The sequence below is a fragment of the Homo sapiens genome, chromosome 1 (genome assembly GCF_000001405.40).
Source record: "Homo sapiens chromosome 1, GRCh38.p14 Primary Assembly".
In the NCBI taxonomy this organism is placed as follows: Eukaryota; Metazoa; Chordata; class Mammalia; order Primates; family Hominidae; genus Homo; species Homo sapiens.
The window spans coordinates 38510780-38533043 of NC_000001.11; the positions used below are offsets into that span (position 1 = coordinate 38510780).

The following is a 22264-nucleotide window of genomic DNA, read 5'->3' on the forward strand; positions in this document are numbered from 1 at the left end:
GAGCCCATTCTATCTGGCTCCAAAGTCCATGCTCTTCCTCTTATAAATGATATGCTCCATGAGGTCAAGGACGATGTCTGTCTTGTTCATCACTGCATCTGTAGCACCTGGTGCAGTGTCTAACATGGTGGTATTCTACCCATCACACAGATCCCTCTGATTCTGTACTGGAGGAGATTACACAGAATGCAAACCACCAGGAGGCTGGGACCCTTAGGGGTCATCTGGGAGGCCATCTGCCAGCAGAGGGCAAGGTGCAGAGACCGGTTCAGGTGCCGCGTCAACAGATCTGCCATTATAATAACCTAATCATGTTCAAAGGCAGAAATCAAAGTGAACACACAGTAATCTCAAAACAAAACAAATAAACAAAGTGAGCCCTAATTGTGTTGTGTGTGACAACAACACAAGTCCCTGGAGATAATGAATAAAGCAGAGCCACATAGGACAAGCAGCCCAGCCAGGTAGAGGCTGGGAAAATGGTGAGGTGAGCAAGATCCGGGGATGGGGAAGGTTGCAGGGTGCTAGGACCACCCTGGTAACAGAATATATAGAACGTGCACCTTACAGGGAGACTAGCATGCGGCACGGGGCTGAGGGGGGCTGCTAAAAGGAGTTTCAATGATTTCAACACTCATTTCAACTCCTAATTTCTGAGCCAAATCTCACAAGGAACTGGTTTCCCCACCAGGTTGCCGCCAGCTCCCATTCCCCACCTCCCACCAGCCCCCTACTTCCTGGCTTTGCCTCAGCCTCCAACACCAGATCCAGGTTTTCAGAAGTTCAGGAGCAAACCAGGGAAGGCTCAGTGAATCCACATTTTTGTCTCCTTCATCCCCCTCCAGCCAAGAAATGATTGCATGGAGAACATCTCCGAGAAATTGGTGGAAAAAACAAAACAAAACAAAAAAACAGATTTTTTTCCCAGTGGGTCTTTTCAAGCTCTCTTTTCTTTTTTCTTTTTTTTTCTTTTCATATTTACAAGAGAAAACAGCTACCCTTCCACAGACTTGCTTTCTTTTATTGCATGCTGAGAACGAGATAACCCATGGGATTCCTTGGCGCAGTGGCTTCCAAGAAGCTCAGAACTAAATCCAGTGCTCATGTCTCACCCTAGGTTATAAGTTCCTTACAGGCAAGAAGACAGATGTGCTTTTCTTTTTGCTCCTACAGAGCCCAGCACCGTGTTCAGCAAAGGGACTCGACAAAGATGTGTGCAAGTTAAACATTCGCGCGTGTTCCACTCCCACCCCAAGACTTCCCACCCCTCTTTTGAGTTTTTTTAAATGGTCTTATTATATATGGGTTTTTATCATGACCTACCTCAAATCCTTTATGTAGGCAGGCAGGGAATAAATGAATAAGTAAACAAACAAATGGATAACGGACTCCCTCCTGCCTGAGGGTACTTGCACAGGGTTTTATCAGCTCTGCTTCCAGAAAATCCACCCTAACTGATATTGAGCTAGGAAACAACAGTTTGGGAGCTCAGCAGGTTCCTTTTTTTTTTTTTTTTTAAACCTAGATAAGCTTGGGTGCCTCAAGTAAATTCCCCTTTGATTGGTATGTTTCATCAGTTGAACTCTAATTGGTGCAAACAGGTAATTTGGAGATTACAAGATTTATTCTTCTATAACAGTGATTACTGATTGCTAATGATAGTGCTGATTTTTAGGTGTTTAAAATCTTGACAGTTACAATACTCATGTGATTTACTACAGCGTCTTAGAGACAGCCTTCTACAGATCTCTGAGGACAGAGGCTGTGTCCTCCATGAGCACTGCCCAGTGCCCCATGGGGGTGTGTGTACGAAGAAATGCTTATTAATATTAATAATAATCATCACAAAACGATAAAGCACTCACCTAGAATACTGAGTCATGCAATCTGCTTGCAATTTCATGGATTTTTGAAATGTGTACCTTTTCTCACCAATGCCTAATTAAACGGGGTATTAGGATTATTAGCTCTAGAAATAATTGGCCTTAAAAGCACATCATAAAAAGACAAAATCATAAACTCTCCTCCCTGACATTTGGAAAGACTCTGGTTTGGAAGCACTCAGAGAAGCTAGAACTAGTAAGTAGCTGCCTTCCTGCCACCCCAGGGAAAGGAGCTAAACAAGGCTGCCCTGGCCTGGTGCCAGCTCAGGAGCCAGGCACCGCCTTTGGGCGCTTTCCCTCGTTATCCCATGTTAACAGGCCAGGCACTAACATGTCAAAACACCGGTGTGTGAAGTGAGTGGAGAGGGGCAGTGCCCAGACAGGAAAGTTGCCTCCACCCAGGGAGCCAGCACGCAGGGTGTGGGCATCCAGTCTTACCAGGATGAAGCTTGGCACACAAGTGCACTTGCCAATAAGGAGGGCGCAAGTGATGAACTCGGGCCAACTAATTCAGAAATGAGCAGCAATTACCACTGGGTCCTACACTGTACCCAGAACACAACGGTAACTCTCCAACCTTAGTACCTATTTATATTTTCTTTTTGTTAAGACTTTAAGTGAATAATAACAGAATACGCCATTTCCGATTTCCTGCCTCCAAGCCTTTGCACAGGCGGCTCCCTATGTAAGTGGAGCTGCACCTGCAGGAACTTCTTATCAGGCAAGGGCCAGGTCAGTGTCTCTTCCTTCCCTGGTTCCACCTTTCTTCTTTCTTCCATGCTGGGTAATTAATGCCTCCCTCCTCTCAACTCCCATGAGCAGTGCCAGTTCTCTGGGCATGAGTGTTCACTAGTGTGTGAGCTCAAGTCTGAGAAAACCAAAGGCTTTGGTGTCCTCCCACGCTCAGCACACTTCCCTGTATGTAACCAGTGTTCAATAAAGCTGGTTTGACACAATCACAAAAAGCCTGTAGTCCCAGCTATTCGGGAGGCTGAGGCAGGAGAATGGCATGAACCCGGGACGCGGAGCTTGCAGTGAGCCAAGATCGCGCCACTGCACTCCATCCAGCCTGGGCGACACAGTGAGACTCCGTCTCAATAAATAAATAAATAAATAAAATCAAAAATAAATTAAAAAAAGCTTTCCTCTAGGTTTGTAGAATCATATTACTTAAGAACTGAAATGGACCATTGAGGAAATCTCTTTGACCCTTTCATTCCAGGGATGAAGACACGATAGCGCCAGTGGGTGGAATGAGTTGCCCAAGGACTTTCAGTGAGTGGCAGTGTCAGATGGAAGACTTTTTAGCTACGAGGGTCTAAAAAAGAAGTATCCCAAGTCACCTACAAGTAATACACCTACACCTTTTGCTGTTAGAGAAGAGCAGATCTTTGATTAAGCTCAATGCTCATGGCCACCCAGGTTTCTTGGCAGTTTGGGATGTGTACACAACCGCTGTCCTTCTGCATCCCATATTTAGGGCCACAATGGGAATTATGACACTCAAGCCTTGTGTAGCGCTTTATATTTTCAGAGTGCTTTCAAATATATAATTTGATCCTTATGACAATTTTTAGTGGAGTTATTATTCCCATTTTACCAGGAGGGAACTTGGGTGAAATGACTTGCCCAGGGTCACACAGCTAGGGCTCATTTTGTTTGTTTGTTTGGTTTTAAGTTTACTGTGCATTCACTTTGATTTCTGCCTTTGAACAGCTAGTGCGGTAGAGCTAGGCCTTGAACCTAGGACTTTTATTCTTTTCTTTTCTTTTTTTTTTTTTTTTTTTGAGACAGGGTCTTGCTCTGTCACCCAGGCTGGAGTGCAGTGGCACAATCTTGGTTCACAGCAACCTCCACCTCCAAGGCTCAAGTGATCCTCCCACCTCAGCCTCCTGAGTAACTGGGACCACAGGTGTGCACCACATGCCTGGCCAATTTTTGTATTTTTTGTAGATACAGGGTTTCGCCATGTCGCCCAGGCTGGTCTCAAACTCCTGGGCTCAAGCAGTCCACCTACCTCCACCTCCCAGAGTGCTGGGATTACAGACATGAACTAACATGCCCAGCCTTGAACCTAGGGCTTTTGATTTCAAGCCTATTATCTGTGCTCTTTGTCTCAAAGCTGCCTCTCTCAACTCTGTTTCACAGAGACAAGATCCTAGGACCTCCCCTTGGCCTGTGGCTTCTGGAGCCAGGTGCTTTTGAGCAGGTTTCATCCTTTACTCTACCCATGTAATCCTAGACATGCCCATCAGATTGTTCCTATCCTGCCTTTAAATGACTCAAAAAGGCTGATGTGTGAGGCTTTCTGGGGAAATAGAGGGCTAGCTCTGGTTTGGCCTGGATAGCACCAATCCTTGCCTAAGCCAATGTCTAGAAGGGTTTTTCCAATGTTATCTTCTAGAATTTTTAGAGTTTCAGGTCTTAGATTTAAATCCTTAATCCATCTTGAGTTGATTTTTGTGTAAGGGGAGAGGTGTCCCCTTATACAAAATTTAAGTCATCCAGTTGTTAGTAATTTATTTTGGCAGCCCTAGGAAATGAATATAGTGACTTTCTCCTCGCTACCTGCATGATGCCTGGTTTAGCAGAACCTTCCTGCTGAAGCCAAATAACCGGACAAGTGAAAGAGGTGGAAAGGGATAGAACTAGGATGTGAAGGCATCCAGGCCTTCCAGTTTCATTCTCCTACATGTGGCTACTCTGGGATACAGCTAAGGTTTTGATAGGTTGTGTCATTATTGTCATTCAGTTGGAAGGATTTTTTTAATTTCCATCTTGATTTTGTTTTTGACCCAGTGCTCATTCAGGAGCAGGTTATTTAATTTCCATGTGTTTGCATGGTTTTGAAGGTTCCTTTTGGAGTTGATTTCCAGTTTTATTCCACTGTGGTCTGAGAGAGTACTTGATATAATTTCAATTTTCTTAAATTTATTGAGGCTCATTTTATGGCCTGTCACAAGGTTTATCTTGGAGAAAGTTCCATGCACTGTTGGATAGAATGTGGTTGATATTCTGTGGTTGTTGGATGAAATGTCCTGTGTATATCTGTTAAGTCCATTTGTTCCAAGGTATAGTTTAAATCCATTGTTTCTTTGTTGACTTTCTGTCTTGATGACCTATCTAGTGCTGTCAGTGGAGTATTGAAGTCCCCCACTATTATTGTGCTGTTGTCTATCTAATTTCTTAGGTGTAGTAGTAATTGTTTTGTAAATTTGGGAGCTCCACTGTTAGGTGCATATGTGTTTAGCATTGTAATATTTTCCTGCTGGACAAGGCCTTTTATCATTATATAATGTCCTTCTTTGTCTCTTTTAACTCCTGTTGCTTTAAAGTTTGTTTAAGTCACAACATAATTCATCTCCCTGTGAGATAGAGGAGAAATGCAGAAACATTTGACCCACATCTCACACCTGACCTATGCCTTTTCTTTGTAGGCGGAAGGAATGAGGCTACAGATGGAACTCTTTGACTCTCATTGACTCCCTCAGCTTTTACTGCAAGGGGTGCCATGATTTTGAAGCAAAAAAAAAAAAAAAAGAAAAAGAAAAGAAAAGAAATAAGAAGTAAATCCAGCCGTCATCAGTTGGAGTGGCTATCAGTACAAAATAACACTGGTGGTATCATGAAATTTCTCAAACAGGTCAACACAGTCACTCACTGGAGTTTTCTCACTAGGATGAGATAGACATTTGACAAGGTGCTAACCCCACAGAGCAGGGGAAGAGGCAGGGAAGGAGACAAGGCCAAATGTTGCCCCCTTCTTTCTCTTCTTCATAGGAGCTCTGCTCCTCTGTTTCCTGTTGATTCTGGCAATTTCATCATGCTACATTTGATCATTACATAAGGATAAAGTCAGTCTCTCTCACTTTCTCTCCCTAAAGACTTTTAAAACAACAAAGTATTTTCTGGAGGGTATGAAGGCAAAGTCAACAATGGCCATAGATCATTCTCTAGAAAGTTTCTTAGGTGATGGCTTCCTTAGTGTATTAAAATTTGCAGGATTACATTTTGTCTTCCCCTGCCTCCCCCAGAGGCTCTGATATAATCAGCAGCACCCCAACACAACTTTGAGCAATTCACCTTCACACGCACACCCAGAGTCTTGCCTAAATATAACATGAATCATCTTTTCGCATTCATTATCAGCCATCTCCAATTATCCCAAGAGAAGCTGAGGCTGTGGTCTGATGGTGAGAGACTAATATAGTCTTTAAGGTGAGGAGTCTGGGTTTGCTGATTGTGTGAGAGCCCAGTAGATCATACCAGGTGAGCAGACAGGCATTGGCCTGATGAGCGCATCCCCTGACTTTGCCGCTGTGTGGCCTTGGGTATTCAAGGGCACAGCTGCCAGGAAGAGGCTCCAATCTCCACCATCCTGGTGGCATTGAAGAGGGCACTGGGCCAGATGATTTCATGGGTCTCCTCCACCCCTCCAGTGGTTGCTCCTTTCTGTGACATCATAACAATGGAAGTGGGTGGCCCCTGAAGCTGATTCCAATTTGAGGAAAGACTCTCATCTCTGTGTCCTCCTGTTCTTCTCTTCCTCCTTCTTGTTCTCAAACACTCACAGGGCAGGGCTGGACAGTGACACCTACCCAGATACCATTTTCCCCAGAGAGAACAGGCAAGGGGCCAGTGGTCCACAAGGGCACCTTGAGGAGTGAAGTAGTTCTTTCTTGCATCAGGGAAGAAGAGCAACCCTGGTGAGGACATGCCTTGGCAGAGAAGAGGCACTCGGATCATAGATGCAGTATCTCCTTCAGCATCAAACGGCACCGGCAGGCATAGGCCCAAATCTCCAGACTCCACTAATAACTGAGCCAACTCCCTCGAGGCCATGACAAACCCTCCCAAGGCTCAGTGAGCTCACAAGCTAAAGCTGCCAACGAAACTATCCAGAGAGCCCATCCTGAGGACGCTGGAGCCTAGGTGGAAAGTTCCAGCTCTGTACACCCTTACCACAGAGTACTTAAGACCGTGGAAGAAGATGGGGCACGCTTCTGGGGCCAACCAGAGACCCTCCTGGTCTGTCTTCTGAGCAGACCACAAATCCTCCCACAGAATTAAAATCTGCAGAGTGGTTTAGAGAGGTACAGGAGGGCACTAGATGCCTTCACATCCTAGTTCCACCCCTTTCCACCTCTTTCACTCATCCGGTTGTTTGGATCCAGCAGGAAGGTTCTGCTAAACCAGGCATCATGCAGGTAGCAAGGAGAAAGTCACTATATTCATTTCCTAGGGTTGCCAAAACAAATTACCAACACCTGGATGACTTAAAGCAACAGAAATTTATTCTTCTCATTTCTGGAAGAAATCTGAAATCAAGGTGCAGTAGGCCATGCTTTGTCTGAGGGCTCTGTGGAAGAACACTTCCTTGTGTGTTCCCAGGTGCTGGTGGCTCCTGGCAATTTCTGGTGTTCCTTGGCTTGTAGCTGCATCATTCCTGTCCCTGCTGCCATGGTCACTTGGCCTTGATCCCTGTGTGTGCTCACATGGCTTCCTTATAAGGACACCAGTCATTGAATTTAGGGCCCCAATCCAATATGACCTCATATTAACTTAAAATTACATCTACAAAGACCCCGTTTCTGAATAAGGTCACATTCTGAGGTTGGAGGTGGACATGAATTTTGGAGGGACACTATTTAACCCACTACTGCTAACCCAGCTTGAGGAGCCTAAGCCAACTGCTGGTCTGTGTGCTTCATGCACCAAACCCAGCACTTCCAGCCTCCCAGAAGACAGAGTGAGAGCCCCAGAGTGAGATACAGAAACATGGAGATCCCAAACAGACCGGTAACTAAAAACATACCTAGCAGGCAGACAACCATATGGTCTCAGAAATCACATCACCATTTCAAAACACTGTAATACTCCTCTTGTTTGATTTTCCCAACACCTCAGTGAGGTAGGCAGAGCAAGTAATGCTAACTACACAATATGGAAGAAGCAGTTGAATTTCACGAAGATGAAATAACTTACCCCAGGCCATCTTGCTGGACAGAAACAGGATTGGGATTAGGATCAGGGTGCTCAGTCCAGTGTATGCTCCCCCATCCCCCCAACTTACAATCATACAAATGCTTAAATAAGATTGAGGAGAAGACATCACCAAAAAGAAAAGCATCACCGTAGACCGAGAGTATCAAACGTCCAAGCTAGTCATTAAATACTTAATACTGAATCCATTTGTATAGTAGACACTGGGGAGACAAGGATTAATGAGATACAGCCTCTGTTCTCGAGGAGTTTGCAGTCTGGTGAGGAAGACTAAAACACCTAAACAGACACACATGATAAAATATTATACACACTGACGGAAGACTGGAGCGGTAAAGTGAATGCAGGAGGGAGTGGTCAGTGCCAACAGGCAAAAGGGAAATTTAAAAAAAACCTCAAGGAGCAAATAGTGTTTTGAGATGGTCTTTATAAATAAATTGGTGCTCCTTGGTCAGAAAAAATTGCTATAAAGGACAGTATACAGATAATTGAAGATATGAACATGAACTCTCTATTAGATAATAAATTGTTTTCAACGTTAAATATCCCAAATTTGATCATGTGTCATGGATATGTAAAAAAAAATGTTCCAGGAGATCTCCTACTGAAGTCTTTAGGGGTAAAGGGTACTGGTGTATACAATTACCCTCAAATGGTTAAGCAAATATTAATAGCAATATGAATGTGTGTGTGTGTGCATATGTGTGTGTGTATAAAAACACATCCACACACATATGTAAAGTTACAAGGAGAAAAAGAGGTGAATGTGGCAAAGTATTAATAATTGGCGGAGGCATCTGAAGAGTACAGGAAGGTTTACTGTTATTGCAATTTTCCTGCACATTTGAAATTTTTCTGAAATGAAAAGCTAAAATAGATCAGGACTGAGTAAGGACAGAAGCGAGTCATTTAAGAAATAAATAGAACTGAAAAAATTATTGGATTGTGATGTGACTAACTATCCTTGCTACCCAGCAAGAAAGGAAGAAGGGATTGATGGAGAATGCTGGTGGCAGTTATTGGGAAAAATAAAACTGTTTCACCTAAAAAAATCATTTGGAGTTCAAGATGCAGGCTGAAGGGAGAGGAGAAGGGAGGGGGCAGTGATGGGCAGAAGGAACAGCATGAGCAAATGCCCAGAAGCCTGGCCAGCCTGGGTAGTTATGGTTTGCACATGGGGAATTGGGGCAAGAGCTGAAGCTGGGAAGGTTAGCCAGGACCAGATCATGCAGAACTTGCCAGCCATGCTAAGGAGCTGAAACCCATCTGAAAGCCAATCTGGAGGCACTGAAGTGTGTCAAGCAGGAGAGTGACTGAGATTCCCACGTGTAGAAGGCAGCAACAAGTGTGGATGAGAGTGGGTTAGAGCAGAGTTGGGATGATCTGGGAGATGTATTGCAAGTCTTCTATCACATATAATAGTTAAAAGACCAGAGAGGATGTACTTATTTTAATACATTAGAGTGGATTCAAGGTTATGCTTACAATAGCACCACACTCATTCACTTGCATTCTAATGGTTTTATTGTACATTAGGAATTTACACACAACAGGAAGTGCACCCAGCATGTGAACATCAGCCTTCCTGTGCATCCCAGCTAAGAAAAGGCTAAGAACCACTGGATTCCACGGTTGAAAGAACAGAGAAGTATGGTTTGCTGGAGCCCTGCAAAAAATCCAGGAAAGAAATGCTAAGGATTTAAGACCAATGATTTTCAAATGTTTAGCCACTGGATTCTCTTCAAACAATATGCAAAAACAGATAAACGTGAAGTTGCTCTGGTTGAGTCAGGGACAGGATGCCCATAATCCGGCCTGCTTAACACCTCTTTCCATTCCAACCTCAGAAGCCCCTGAAAGGACTCCAGTAAAACACTTCAAAAGGCACTGGCCTAGACTAAGAGGGAGAAGGTAGCGGTGAGAATTTTGAGAGGAGGTGAAATATGCAGAAAGTTAAGAATCAACTTCTCAATTGGGGGTTGAGGGTGGGGGAAAAGTAATGTAAGCAATGGGGTTACTAGACCACTTGCTAGAGTTCCAGGTTTCTGGTTGGGACTGGGAAGGTGATGATCAAGATGGCAGGTTTCAGAAAAGGATGAAGATTTTTACATGTTCAGTTGGAGGCCGAGGTGGGACATACTTTCAATAGGCAGTGAAATAACATTTAGAGCTCAGGAGAGAAGTCCCACACAGAGAAATAAACTGAGAATTCATCAGCAATTGGTGGTAACTGAAGTCCACGAGGAAGAAAAAACACATGCAGGAAAAAATAAAAGCCTGTAATCCCAGCACTTTGGGAGGCCGAGGTGGGTGGATCACGAGGTCAGGAGATCAAGACCATCCTGGCTAACACGGTGAAACCCCATCTCTACTAAAAATACAAAAAATTAGCCGGACGTGGTGGCAGGCACCTGTAGTCCCAGCTACTCAGGAGGCTGAGGCAGGAGAATGGCGTGAACCCGGGAGGCAGAGCTTGCAGTGAGCCGAGATCGCGCCACTGCACTCCAGCCTGAGTGACAGAGCAAGACTAAGTCTCAAAAAAAAAAAAAAAAAAAAAAAAAAAGACCCATATGATATGATGAGAGGCAAGAACCTGGGACCGAATCCTGGTTAATGCCAACATTTAGTGGTTGGTCAGAGAGCCAGAAAGAGAAGCAGGTTCATGATTATCTCAGAAGCTAAAGGAGAAAGAGAGAAAAGGAATAATAATTACATATGCTCTATGTTCCTAAGTATCTGTGATTATACTCATAGTCTAAGAACTATTAAGAACTATGCAATTATGTGTAGAGAGCTGAGAATCTACCTATTTCTTCATTTCAACTGAACTCAGGGATAGGGATTTTCTCATTCATAAATATGTCCTGTGCTTAACAGAGGCCCTGGAATATAAGTGCTTTATACATATTTGTTGAATGAGTGAATTAATTAATGATCTTTAAGATTTATTTGGAGAAAGCATTATGCTAGCTTTAAGAGCTGAGCAGAACAATGGAAAGGATCAAGATAAACTGGAGGACCATCTGAAACGTTCCCCAGAAGAGAAAATCTACTGAACGATGTGCTGACTCCCAGAAGACCCAACAGCCCTGTCATGGCCCACACAGGGCAGGACTTAGGAGGAGCAGTAGAGGCCAAAGGAAGCCGGCCCAAGTAGGCGTCATGGCTCAGGTGCACAGCTAGACAAAACTGCATAGAACAAAGCCAAAGAGCCAAAAGGAAATGGAAATTACTGGATGTAATTTCCCAAGAGGACCTAAAGTCATCAGAATAGAAATTCAGAGTTGGGTCCTTACTTCACGCTTGAAACTGTCTTTGAGAAGCGAGACAGGCAGCCCTGTAGGGGATGAATACTGCGAAATGCCAAACCGGCACCACAGCCACCTTGCCCGTAGAAACCAGGCTTGCTTTCAGTCCTTCTCTGACCCTATAAGCCAAATCTCGGCTTCAGTAATGTTTCCTTCTTTCAAGCAACCACAGGTAGCAGGAGAGACTGGGACCACAGTGGGCAAAGCTCCTGAAGGGGATGCCCTTCCAAAGCCTGCCTTGGCAGAACCTCTCGTGCTCAAGGGCAGGAAGAGCGCCCCCTCCTGAGGAAAAGGAAGCCGTCAATTCACCTTTTTTTTTTTTTTTTTTTTTTGAGACGGAATCTTGCTCTGTCGCCCAGGCTGGAGTGCAGTGGCACGATCTCGGCTCACTGCGACCTCCACCTTGCAGGTTCAAGCAATTCTCCTGCCTCGGCCTCCCGAGTAGATGGGATTACAGGCATATGCCACCACGCCTGGCTAATTTTTGTATTTTTAGTAGAGACGGGGTTTCACCATGTTGGCCAGGCTGGTCTTGAACTCCTGACCTCTTGATTCACCTGCCTCGGCCTCCCAAAGTGCTGAGATTACAGATGTGAGCCACTGCATCTGGCCTTTTTTTTTTTTTTAAATGGGGTCTTGCTATGTTGCCCAGCCCAGCCTGGAACTCCCGGGCTTAAGCTATCCTCCCACCTCAGACTCCCAAAGTGCTGGGATTACAAGTGTGAGCCACCACACGTGGCCTCAATTCACTTTTTATATTATTACAGATAAAGAATAATAGAAATGCACTCTATGATTAGCTGGATAATAATTAAAATAATAGTTATATATAATAATTATGCATAATACGAGAGATGAAGGTAGAGGGACAGCAGACTCTTGTTTGAGCAGACATGGGACTCTAATTTCCACAAATAAGTCATATGTAGACCAAGAATGCAGCTAAGCAGTTGTTGCCCCTGCCCTATAACTCATTAAAGAGGCTAGAATGAAGGACTAATAGCAACTACAACAAAATTGTTATTTGTTCTCTGATACAGATTAAATTGAACACTGCAGATCATTTCTTTGGCCACACGTCTTCAGGCTTCTGGGAGCAGCGTGCCGAAAGTTGTCCCTTCCAACGCAACTTCCAAATGGTCTCAGCAGGAATCTGAGCATTCTGATCACACATTTATTGGCTTCTTTTCAGTGTTTTATCACTTCGCTTAGTTTTAGAAAGTGTTTCCCCCCATTAGATGGGTAAGACTAAACTCTGGTATAGATGAGAACTCACACACACGAAAAAGGTGACCTCAACGTTCCTGAAGAACGGAAGGCTGTAGAACTGAATCAAAAGGGAAAAAAAGAGAAGGAGCAAAATGAAACAGGAGAGGGAGAGAGACAGTCTGGAAGGACACTAAAGTTTTAAATGTAGCTATCTCTAGGATAATGAATGTTTTATGTTTCCCCTTTTGGTTTGTCTGCATTTCTACTTTTTCTTCAATGAAATGTTATTTTTAAATAGTGAAAAACGTAATCAAAATTATTTTTAATGAAACAATTCAGATTAACAAGACCTAAATATTCTAAGTTAGGATTTCTTACATGCGTAAACATTTTTTCCTGTTGTGGTTAAATACATATAACATAAATTTCACCATTTTAACCATTTTTAAGCGTACAATTCAGTGGCATTAAGCACATTCACAATGTTGGGCAACCGTCACCACCATCCATTTCCAGGAATGTTTTATCGTTCAAAACAGAAACTCTACCCATTAGATAAGAACTTTCCACTCCCGTCTTCTCTCATCCTTTGGTAATCCGTATTCTACTTTCTTTCTCTGTGAATTTGCCTATTCTAAGTACCTCATCCAAGTGGAATCATACAATATTTGTCCTTTGTGTCTGGCTTATTTCACTTAGCGTAATGTTTCCAAGGTTTGCCCATGTTGTAGCATGTATCGATGTATCAGAATGTTATTTCTTTTCTAAGCAGAATAATATTCCATTGTTTGTATATATATATGTCATATATATACACAAACATATATATATATATGTCACATTTTGTTTATCCATTCATCTGTTGATGGACATTTGGGTTGCTTCTACCTTTTGGCTATAGTGAATAATGCCACTGTAAACACTGAAATGCAAGCATCTGTGCAAGTCCCTGCATTCATTTCTTTTGCGCATATACCTAGAGGTGGAATTGCTGGATCATACAGTAATTCTATGCTTCACTTTTTGAGAAGCCTCCTTCTGCTTTCCACATGGGCTGCACCATTTTACATTCCCACAAGCAATGCACCAGGATTCCAATCTCTCCACATCCTCGTCAACACTCGCTATTTTCCATTTTTTTGATAGTAGCGTCCTAATGAGTGTGAAGGGGCATCTTGTTGTGCTTTTGATTTGCATCTCGCTAATGAATCATGATGTTTGGCATCTTTTCACGTACATTTTGGTCATCTGTATATCTGTTTTGGAGAAATGTCTATGTAAGCCCTCTGTCCATTATTGAATTTTTGTTTCTTTGTTTTGCTTGTTTGTTTTTAAGTTGTCGGAGTTGTTTACATATTCTGAACATTAATCCCTTATCAGGTACATGATTTGCAAATATTGTCTCCCATTCTGTGGGTTGTTTTTTCACTCTCTTGATAGTGTCCTCCGATGCATAAAGGTTTTTAATTTTCATGAAGTCCAGTTTATCTAATTTTTCTTTTGATGCTGTGCCTTTTGTGTCGTATCCAAGAAATCATCATCAAATCCAATGTCATGAAGGTTTTCCTCTATGTTTCTTCAATGAATTTTATTATTTTAATTCTTATGTTTAGGTCTTTGACCCACTTTGAGTTAACTTTTTATGTGGTATAAAGTAGGGGTCCAACTTCATTCTTTTTTATGTGAATATTTAGTTTTCCCAGCACGGTTAATTTAAAAGATTGTCCTTTCCCAGGCTGGGTGCGGTGGCTCACGCTTGTAATCCCAGCACCTTGGGAGGCCGAGGCGGGCAGATCACGGGGTCAAGAGATCGAGACCATCCTGGCCAACACGGTGAAACCTCATCTCTACTAAAAATACAAAAATGAGCCAGGTGTGATGGTGCTTGCCTGTAGTCCCAGCTACTTGGGAGGTTGAGGCAGAAGAATCGCTTGAACCCAAGAGACAGAGGTTGCAGTGAGCCAAGATCGCACCACTGCACTCCAGCCTGGGCGACAGAGCAAGACTCCGTCTCAAAAAAAAAAAAAAAAAAAAGAAAGGCTGTCCTTTCCCAATTGAATGGTCTTGGGCACCCGTGTTGAAAATCTTATGTGCTTCTTACATTGTGAATGGCCACAGATTTCAATGTACTCTGTAGCTAAATGTGAAAAATAAAATAGCAACACCTTACACTTGTATAAGGTGAAGGAAAGGTAATACAATTGTATGTTTATATAGTACCTTATAATGTGCAGCAGCTTTGTGTAGATAAAACAATTCATGGATTTGGGAGTCAGGCTGTCTGGGTTTGAATTCTAGCTTCTCAACTTCCTAGCTGCATAACCTCAGGCAAGCCACTTAACCTTTCTAGGCCTCAGCTTCCTCATCTGTAAAATGGGCATATCCTATCCACTTCATAGTATTGTTATGAGGATTAAATTAGATAATTCACATAAAGCACTTAATACAGTTCCCAACACATAGTAACCGTGTGGTACAGATAGCTATTGCAATCATTAATCTTTAACATCATATCGTAGACTGGCTTATATTCATTATTTCCTGTGGTTCCCACATTGACCCTGTAAGGTAAGCAGGATAATAACAGTAGTGTCATTATAGAAACAGGTAAGGTTGGGCTCAGAAGGTATCTTGCTAGACCAAGGCAATGTGGCGAGGAGGTGGCAGGACAAAGTCTGTGTTTTTACCACCACCCATAAAAGGGACACTATCAGAAATAAAGCAGGTTTTACGCAGAGGTCTGGTTCCTGGGCCAATGTTCCTTTTACTGAGAAACTTGTCTGTCATCACTCTTTTTAAGACAGAGATGGTTTACTGTTTTCTACCTTTAACAAAAATCAAAAGAAGCTATGGCACAGTGAGGGTCAGTGTCCTGTGTACGGCAGACCCAGAAATCAGGACAAGACCAGGAACAGACAACAGATGTCCCCTGTAGAGCTGAATTTCACAGAATCAGAATAAACTACCATGGGCTCATCAGAAAATTCCTCCAGTAATTATAAAAGTCTTAAACGTGCAATAACAAATTCATGCAACACCACCTCCTGGCCACAAAGACCGAATGAACCACTGTAGGTACGAACTGCTACGAGTGTGGGAGCTTTCTGTCACTCCAGACTTAAGAAAAGATGAAAGACTGAACTAAAATGAATATAAAGACGGCTGTTTAAATTCATTAAAGAGATAGTTACACATGCTCTGAAAAGAGAGTTGTTAGGCACCTACCATGGGCAAGATGTGTCGGAAATGTGTGGATATAAAGATAATAATCTTTGAGAAGTTTCAAAACAGAGGGAAAAAATGCAAATAAGAAAGAACTTCAGGCCAGGCACAGTGGCTTGCGCCTGTAATCCCAGCACTTTGGGAGGCCAAGGCGGGCTGATTACTTGAGGTCAGGAGTTCAAGACCAGCCCGGCCAACATGGTGAAACGCTGTCTCTACTAAAATTAAAAAAAAAAAATTAGTTGGGCATGGTGGTACACGCCTGTAATCTATTCGGGAGGCTGAGGCAAGAGAATCACTTGAACCCGGGAGGCGGAGGTTGCAGTGAGCTGAGATGGCACCACTGCACTCCAGCCTGGGTGACAGAGCAAGACTCCATCTCAGAAAAAAAGAAAAAAAAAAAGAACTTCAATTTAAAGCAGCAAATATTAAGTGCCTTAACAGTTTCTTTTGGAACTTCTAACAAGCAATTTCTATCAACTGAGGCAAAAGTCTTAAGTTCCCCCAAACCAATGTCCCATTGGTTACTTTCAACCAAAAAAACTGCCTGGTGGGTTCAGCCTCTCTGGAGGCTGTCAGTATGCAAAACTTCTTCAATATCTTCAAGCAGTAAAGGGAAACACAGCCATCCTGATGTAATAATGGGATGGATGAGGAAGCTATACATTTCTTTGGATTTACGATTTGGCTGTCTCCTTCACCTCCATCTGTGCCAAACCATACGGGGACGCTCCTGATTAATCATCTGTGGAAAAAGTACATTACTGCAAGGTGCATGTTCTCACGCAAGTGCTTTCAACCAGACCCTGGGAAGTTGGTGAGAGGCTTTCGGGACAGGAGCTTCACAGAGGACATCATGTATTTGGCCTCTCCTGTACCTCACTGCTGTCTAAAACTGGAATGGAAAGAAATGCTTTCAGGATCAGGGAGAATAGAAAAGTGATGCCGGCTTGAGTGTAAACCTCAGTGTGTGGCTGGGCAGCTGTCAAGAAAGCCACCTGAACAGGTGACTTGGGGGTGACACCTCATCTGGTCTGTCCTGAGAGAATTTAACCAGCCACCAGGGGTAGGCTGATGTCATGGAAAGAGGCGGGCTTTGGAGGAACGCTGGTTCACATTCCGGTTCTGCCACTTGGTGTGTGAACCTCAGCAAGGTTTCAGTTTCCTTTTCTAAAAAGGACAGAACCCCTATTCTAGAGAGTGATTGTGGTAGTGAGCTTCTAAATTAGCTCCCATCCTGGAATTCATGCCCTTATATAATCTCTGCCACTTGGGTGTGAGCTGGACCTAGTGACTCACCTCTGATGAAAAGAATATGGCAAATATGATGGGACGCCGCTTCTAAGACTCAGACATAAGACTATGACTTATATCTTGCTTGCATTCCCTCTTGGCCCTTTCCCCCTGCTGCTCTGATGAACAGGCTACCTTGCTGTGAGCTGTCCAATGGAGAGGACCATGTGGCAAAGAACTAAGCACCGCCTCCAGCCAACAGCCCACAAGGAGCTGAATCCTCCCAACAACCCCATGAAGGAGCTCAGAAACAGATCCTCCCCCAAGTCGAGGCTTAAGACGATATAGCACAAGCAACCCTTTGATTGCAGCTTACGAGAGACCCTGAGACAGAGGATCCAGCTATGCTACATGCAAATTCCTGAGTCACAGAAACTTTGAGATAATAAGTGGCTATTGTTTGAAACCACTAAGTTTGGGGATAATTTGTTATGCAGCAATAGATAACTAATACGGTAACGTTGAGAATTTAATAAGGTACCATGTGCCATAGCTAGTCCATACATGCATGGTAGCTGTTATCATTAGCAGGAGATGGACTAACTGCCTTCCAATTCATTTGTAGAAAGATGGTGGCATGGAGGCTGGGAAAGGGAAGGAGATGGCATTTTCCAGGAAATCACAAACTAAGCAGAAACTCAAAAGAAAAATACAACCAAGTGCCAACTATTTTTTGACAGGTGATCATCTCTCTTCTCCATAGTCCCAAAATATTTCCTTTGTGCCATGATTATAGAACCAGCATGGCTGGCCAGATACTATGCCATTGTCCCTTTCTCCCTTCTCCTGTCCTCAAAGGTAGGGGTCATGCCTTCATTTTCTCACTCCATCACAGTGTCAAACACCATCCTTTGCTGATGAGAATAATGTGTAATTGTTCTTTTTCCCATTCTAAAAAATTCAGTAAATTTTTCTTCCATTCTATTTCCTACTGGAATTCTCCTCTTCTCAAAGTCCATTTCACAGGCATCCCTCTCTCCACGGTCTCCCCAACCTGTAGCTCTCCTTCAAGATTATTTACTCCTGTGCTGCTCTGCACTACTGTTATCCAGCTGTTTATTAGAATTAGTGAATTAATGTGTTGCAGTCATCTCTCCCTCTAGCTGACAGCCTCCAGAACAGCAGGGACAATCTGTCTTATTCATTCTTGGGAGCTACAGTGGCCACTCCAAGTTTGAAGTAGGTTCTCAGAACCAGTGACTGGAGGAATAAATTATTTCAAACCGTTCTCTGAGATTCGAGTAAACAAACCTCTGAGGACAAAATGAGGGGGAAAAGCTCAGAGGACAGGTCACAAATTGCAACAGACTTTTTCAAACCCACTAGGGGCCATCAAGTCCCTTCCAAGCCAACCAAGTTTAAGAACCTGTGGGATCTTGCAGGTTTCTTTTCCAAGCCTGTTGTAGCTCCCTCCTGGCACCATTCCCAAGGCAAAGAAAATGGAGCTGTTAACATTGCCCCTACAATGAAAGGAAGACCAGGTTAGAGAACACAAAGATACATTGTTAGAAACATAATTCAAGAGGGTACAACGAATAAGAACTTCTGGAATTCATTACCAAAGTCAAAGCCCAACCCATGTTCCCCTGACCCCTTCCCTGGCTCCAGTACACAATTAATTAGAACCCTAGTCCAACAGGAATTGCACCTCCACACAGAACATGGTTTTGTGCTAAGAAGAGCAAAGCCTCTGGTGATTTCGTGGTTCTCCCAACTTCATTCTTTTGCAACAAGACAGGGGCAGCCAAAGATGCCATAAACCGGTGGGGAGGGGGAGTGCCAGGGATGAGGCTTGACAGCATTACGGCCATTAATGAAGATGAAGTGGGGCAATAACTCCTGAGAACTTGCTCACCAGAATTCCCGCTGCCTTAGCAACTCCTCCTTCCTGAGGGTCATCTCTTTAGTTGCAGCTGGCCCAGCCCGGGGCTGAGGGAGGACTCTGTGACTCAGTTCCTGGACATAGGACGTAGGCCCTGGAGGCACCAAGTAAACCACAGATAGGCCTGAGCCCGGGCCTTGCTGCTTTAGATGCCCTCATTCTGAAGCATTGGTCAGCATCCACCTGGTGGCAACTGGTAAGAATAACCCACTCAAGCTGGTGACCGGTCATCACTTGCCTGCTTGGCAGTGGTTACTCAGCATCTACCTGCTTGATGGTGGCTGGTCAACATTTGTCTGCTTGATGGTGATTGGTCAGGACATAACTTCTTGGCTAGGACCTACCTACCGGGCAGTGGTTGGTCAGTACCAACCTACTTGGCAGTGGCTCATCAGTACCCATGCCTACTTGGTAGTGGTCAGTACCTGCCTGCCTGGTGGTGGGTGGTCAGCACCTGCCTGCCTGGTGGTGCTCGGTCAGCACCTGCCTGCTGGTGGTGTGTGGTCAGCACCTGCCTGCCTGGTGGTGCTTGGTCAGCGCCGGCCTGCCTGGTGGTGCTTGGTCAGCACCTGCTGCCTGGTGGTGCTTGGTCAGCTCCTGCCTGCCTGGTGGTGGGTGGTCAGCACCTGCCTGCCTGGTGGTGGGTGGTCAGCACCTGCCTGCCTGATGGTTCTTGGTCAGCTCCTGCCTGCCTGGTGGTGCTTGGTCAGCTCCTGCCTGCCTGGTGGTGCTTGGTCAGTGCCTGCCTGCCTGGTGGTGCTTGGTCAGTACCTGCCTGCCTTGTGGTGCTTAGTCAGTACCTGCCTGCCTGATGGTGCTTGGTCAGCTCCCGCCTGCCTGGTGGTACTTAGTCAGTACCTGCCTGCCTGGTAGTGGTTGGTCAGCACCTGCTGCCTGGTGGTGCTTTGTCAGCTCCTGCTGCCTGGTGGTGCTTAGTTAGTACCTGCCTGCCTGGTGGTGGTTGGTCAGCACCTGCTGCCTGGTGGTGCTTGGTCAGCTCCTGCCTGCCTGGTGGTGGGTGGTAAGCACCTGCCTCCCTGATGGTGCTTGGTCAGCACCTTCCTGTTTGGTGCTCAGCACTCGTCTGGTGGACCCAGTTGGCCAGTGCTGTCCATGAGCAGGCCTATGAATTAAGTGAGGACACTTATCATGGAGATCTAGGTCTGGAAGAAGGGTGGGGCAAAAGAAGAAAGGAACATTCATTCCATACTTTACATTTCATGGGCATTTTATCACTTTTTTTTCTTTGGCTCTTTACCAAAACTCTATCAAATACATGCAGCCAGCCCACATTTACAAAGACATTCATTCATTTATTTAACAGGTGTTTGGGGAGCACCTATTCTGGGCCCAACTCTTGGGAAGTTCTGGGGAGAGATGAATAAAATGCAACACTTGCTCTCAAAATGCACAGACTCCAATAGAGACAAGGACATCATCGTGCCTATCCTAATAACAGCTAACATTACTGTGCACTTCTACACACAGGGCACTCTTCTGAGCACTTCATGGCCAATAGTTCATTTAATCCTCACAAAAACTCATTGAGATAAATACTATTATCTCCATTTTACAGATAAGAATACTGAGACCCACAAAGTTAAACTAAATTCCCCAGGTTCTCACAGCTAACAAATGGCGGTGGTAGAATTTGAACCCAGGAGGACTGGTCTAAAGCCTACACCCTTGGGCCTTATAGTCTAGCCATCTAGATAATCAAGGCCAGTGTGACACGTTGAATAAACTTAGAAATGTCCACCTTGTTATTGTGAAGAAGACTAGGTATGTCAGGAGAGAGGAGAATCTGGGAGAGGAGCTAATTTAAACAAGGCCTCTCCAGAGCCCAAAAGACTCCTATCACTTCCATCTTTAAGGCTTTGGTATGTTAAAATAAATACATAATGTCAAAGTTATAAAATTTTGGTGTATTTTAAATGTTTATATTTAACAAATGATTTTGATGCATATGTGATATAATGCAATTATATCACATAATTGATATATCACATAATTGCATAATTGTCATTGTGATATTCACAAAAAATTCCAAGATTACAATAACATATTGATTCAGTGTGCATTTCAGGTGTGATGGTCCTATAACAGAGAACAGACCACATTCCAAGAAAACATACTCCTCTTTCAGTCCTGTCAATGTATTTCTGTGACTGGGTGAAAGTTTTCACTTGGAGGTAATGTCAAAAATTTACATTTCTTGTCCTCTGTGATTGATGGTCTGGGAGAGAAATGGCCTTCCAGGTCTCCTTTGACTGGCCTTGACTTTCAGCAATGTCATGAAGTCCAAGAGGCAATGCAGTGCACAGCAGCACTGCATGGATTCAAGTCTCAGTTCTGTTGCTTACTAGCTGTGTGATTTTGGGCAGGCCATTTAAATGATCTTTGCCTCAGTTCCCCATTCATGAAACAGAGATAATAATATTATCTACCTTCTAGGTTTGCTGTATTAAATATGTGATTAGTATAGAATGAGATGTACACGCAAATTTATTACTCAAACACCTATTATCCTACCCTGAGCCATGTCCCATGCATGGCCTTAGGAGGTACAAAGATAAGTACAACAAGAGATCAGCGCTAGAGCAATGGTACAGTCTAGTAGGAAGTCAGACTATGCAATGTGTTCCTTTGGAGCCGCTGATCCTAACCCTACCTGTGAGACTATCTGTTGGATGGCAGAATCTGAGCTCCAATCTGGCTGCTCCCCAACTCAGAGTGAGGTGAGTGGAAAAGAGTAGGAAGTCACCATGTGAGTAGGATCACCACACCACATAATATGCCACGTAACTCGGAACTCAGGCCCTACTAGTGAGCTGCTCTGACACTTTCTAATTGCTTCAAAGGCCTGATGCATTTGGCTTATAGACTGTTCTCACTCCTTAAAATTATATACAATCCCATATTCTACCTTGGAATTAAATTTAACAGCAAATTTTTTAAAGCCACACTTTTTATCAATTGCAGGAAATTTGGGGAGGAAAAAAAACCAAATGGAGAAAATCGAAATCACCCATCACCCCACCACCCAGAGGCAACCACTGTTCACTTCCTTCCAATCCTTTCTGTATACATTTTTAACACAGTTGAGATCATACTGTATAATCAATTTTGTATCTTGCTTTTCAGAAATGTGAATTTAAAAGTCAAGCACCCAAGAACCCCAGCTATCTCATCAACACTTCAGATGCCTCAGAAACACATTGGAATTTTTAAAAATTGATTCTGCGAATCTCCCCCTTCCACTTCTCTTCTGACCACGTGGGGTTCGCAGCAGAATACACACGATATAGACACATTCCCTGAAGTGTAATAGATTTGAATTGCACACAAGTTGGAGAATGAATGTCTAAATAATTAGGAGGTTAATTAATCTAAAATATTGGAGGATGAAAGAAATTTGAAGCTACAGATTCGACAGAGGTCTTCACAACTGTCTTGCTAATGAA

General features: G+C 43.8%; 1 long non-coding RNA gene across 1 annotated transcript, besides 4 other annotated features; it reads left to right on the forward strand.

The window, feature by feature from the left end:
- Positions 1-7470: 7470 nt before the first annotated feature.
- Positions 7471-22145, forward strand: LOC105378658 (uncharacterized). Its single transcript, XR_947211.3, has 3 exons — positions 7471-7682; positions 17484-17598; positions 21945-22145. It is a non-coding gene; the product is annotated as an uncharacterized LOC105378658 (long non-coding RNA).
- Positions 16615-16818: a transcriptional cis regulatory region, noted in NCBI's record as "candidate enhancer chr1.5052 targeted for multiplex CRISPR interference". NCBI's record gives its function as "positively regulates MANEAL gene expression with high confidence in K562 cells {active_cell/tissue: K562}" and the evidence as "EXISTENCE:mutant phenotype evidence [ECO:0000015][PMID:30612741]".
- Positions 16615-16871: a biological region, named in NCBI's record as "CRISPRi-validated cis-regulatory element chr1.5052". NCBI's record gives its function as "regulatory_interactions: MANEAL".
- Positions 16752-16871: an enhancer, noted in NCBI's record as "active region_796". NCBI's record gives its function as "activates an Ori minimal core promoter by ATAC-STARR-seq in GM12878 lymphoblastoid cells {active_cell/tissue: GM12878}" and the evidence as "EXISTENCE:reporter gene assay evidence [ECO:0000049][PMID:35858748]".
- Positions 19548-20190: an enhancer, noted in NCBI's record as "H3K4me1 hESC enhancer chr1:38995999-38996641 (GRCh37/hg19 assembly coordinates)". NCBI's record gives its function as "activates a minimal SCP1, AML or CMV promoter by ChIP-STARR-seq in naive and primed H9 embryonic stem cells {active_cell/tissue: H9 hESC(naive and primed)}" and the evidence as "EXISTENCE:reporter gene assay evidence [ECO:0000049][PMID:30033119]".
- Positions 22146-22264: the final 119 nt, after the last annotated feature.